The following is a 2,653-nucleotide window of genomic DNA, read 5'->3' as shown; positions in this document are numbered from 1 at the left end:
ACGTAAAGCAAGAACTGATAGAACTGGAAGGAAGAAAAGAACCCACATCTAAAGTTATAGTTGGAAACATCTACATTTCTCCCTCAGTAATGAAATAAATATGAGTCAGGATGTAGATGATTTGAACAACATTATTGTGCTAGTTTCCCATGGCTGCTATAACAAATCATTACAAACTTGGCCATTTAAAACATAGCAAATTAGCTTCATCAGCTGTCACAAGTATGCCACCCTGGTGGGGGATGTTGATAAGGGAGGAGGCTATACATGTGTGGGGCAGGGAATATATGGGAACTCTCTGTATCCTCATTTCAATTTTTCTGTGAACCTAAAACTGCCCTAAAAAATGAAGTATTAAAAAAATCAATTGGCCAAGAGATGGTCAACAGGTTAGTGACTGCTGGGGTTAGGGATGGTGGGGGGTGTGGGAGGGTAGGAAGAAGCGGATGGATGTGACCATGAGGGCAGCATAAGGAGATCTTTGTGGTGATTCATGGAATAATTTTTTTTAAATCTTCTTTATTTTTATTTTTATTTTTTGAGACAGGGTCTTGCTCTTTTACTCAGGCTAGAGTGTGGTAGTAGGAACATCGCTCAATGTAGCCTTGGATTCCTGGATTTGAGCCATCCTCCTGCTTCAGTCTCCAGGATAGCTGGGACTTACAGGCATGTGCCACCATGCCCAGCTACTTTTAAATTTTTATTTATTTATTTATTTTTGTAGAGATAAGAGTCTTGCTATGTTGCCTAGACTGGCCTCATAGTTCCGTATCTTGGATGTGGTGGTGGTGGTTATGTGAATCTACACATGTGGAAAAATGACACAGAAATAAAACTATACACATGCCAATTTCCTGGTTTTGCTATTGTACTGTATTATATAAGAAGTATTGTATATTGTATTGTATTGTATTACACAATTGCTATTATATTACATTATACAAGACATAACCACTGGGGGAAGCTGGGGAAGTGTACAAAGGATCTCTTTGTACTATCTTTCCGATTTCCTTTGAATCTATAACAATTTCCAAATAAATCGTTTTTAAAAATTATTCTCTTAGATTTCTGGAGGTCAGAATTCTGAAATGAGTTTCACTAGGTTGAGAGCAAGGTGTTAGCAGGACCACCTCCCGCGGAGGCTCTAGTGAGCATTCATTTCCTTGCCTTTTCCACTTTCTAAAGCTGCATTCTTTGCATTCCTTGGCTCAGGATTCCTTTCTCCATCTTCAAGACTAGCAGGGTATCATCTTCACATCTCTCTCTGCTGTCTTCATATAGCCTTTTCCTTCTGTTTGCCAATCTCTCTGTTCCTGACTCTTACAAGGATTCCTATGATTACATTTAGGGCTCAGATAATCCAAGATAATCTCCTTATGTCAAAGTCCTTAATTTAACCATGTCTTCAAAGTTCCTGATATTATATAAGGGAACACTCACAGGTTTCAGGGATAAGGACCTGGATATGGTTATGGGCTGTTATTCAGCCTGCTACCACTATCATACAACTTGCTGTAATTGACTTTTATAGCACACTCATCCAATACAGCAGACAACACATTATTTTCAAGTACAAATATTTATCAAGATAGATTATATTCTGGGCTGTAAAGGAAATCCGCTAAATAAACTTAAGAGGGCTGAAAGCATAAACATGTGTTCTTCCTTCACAACTAAAAATCAGGCCAGGCTCGGTGGCTCACACCTGTAATCCCAGCACTTTGGGAGGCCGAGGCGGGTGGATCACTTGAGGTCGAGTGTTCAAAACCAGCCTGAACAACATGGTGAAACCCTGTTTCTACTAAAAGTAAAAAAAAAAGCCGGGCATGGTGGTGCATGCCTGTAATCCTAGTGACTTGGGAGGCTGAGATGAGAATCACTTGAACCCCGGAGGCAGAGGCTGCAGTGAGGCAATATTGTGCCACTGCACTCTAGCTTAGGTGACAGAAAGAAAGAAAGAAAGAAAGAAAGAAAGAAAGAGAGAGAGAAAGAAAGAAAAGAAAGTAAGAAAGAAGAATAAATTAAACCTCTCCAAGATGGAGGAAAAAATATTAAAAATAAAATAATAAATCAATGAAATAGAAAACAGAAAACCAGTAAAGAAAAATCAATAAATCAGAACTGTGTTATTTGAAAAAGTCAATAAAATTAATGAACTATAATCAGACTGATCAGAGTAAAATTGGGAAGACAAAACTTACCAAAGTCAGCTAAAAGAGAGGGCCATCACTACAGATTCTGTTAGCACTGAGAGGATAATAAGCGAATATTATGGATCACTTTATTTCACAGAAATGAATATGTTAGTGTAGACGAAATAGACATATTCATTAAAGACATGAACTAGCAAACTTATGAAGAAATGAATAACCCAAATAGCACTATATCCATAAAGTAATTGAATTCTAATTAAAAATGTTCCAACAAACAAACAAATGAAACCCTCCAGGCCTAGATAACTTCATTGGTGAAGTCTATCATACACTTAGGGAAAAAATAGTACCAATTGTACATAAACCCTTGCAGGAAAAAAAAAGATGGAATACTTCCCAACTCAATTTATGAGGTCGTATGACCATAATATCAAAAGTAGATTAATATATCTCATTATCAGAGATGTGAATATCTATAACAAAATATTTATAGAACAAAT

At 37.1% G+C, this 2,653-nt stretch overlaps 1 annotated feature.

Moving 5' to 3' along the window:
• Positions 920-1,602: an enhancer, noted in NCBI's record as "OCT4-NANOG-H3K27ac hESC enhancer chr6:166463835-166464517 (GRCh37/hg19 assembly coordinates)". NCBI's record gives its function as "activates a minimal SCP1, AML or CMV promoter by ChIP-STARR-seq in primed H9 embryonic stem cells {active_cell/tissue: H9 hESC(primed)}" and the evidence as "EXISTENCE:reporter gene assay evidence [ECO:0000049][PMID:30033119]".

The sequence above is a fragment of the Homo sapiens genome, chromosome 6, assembly GCF_000001405.40.
Source record: "Homo sapiens chromosome 6, GRCh38.p14 Primary Assembly".
In the NCBI taxonomy this organism is placed as follows: domain Eukaryota; kingdom Metazoa; phylum Chordata; class Mammalia; order Primates; family Hominidae; genus Homo; species Homo sapiens.
The sequence above is the reverse complement of the archived record's forward strand: the minus strand, read 5'-3'. Positions and strand labels throughout refer to the sequence as shown.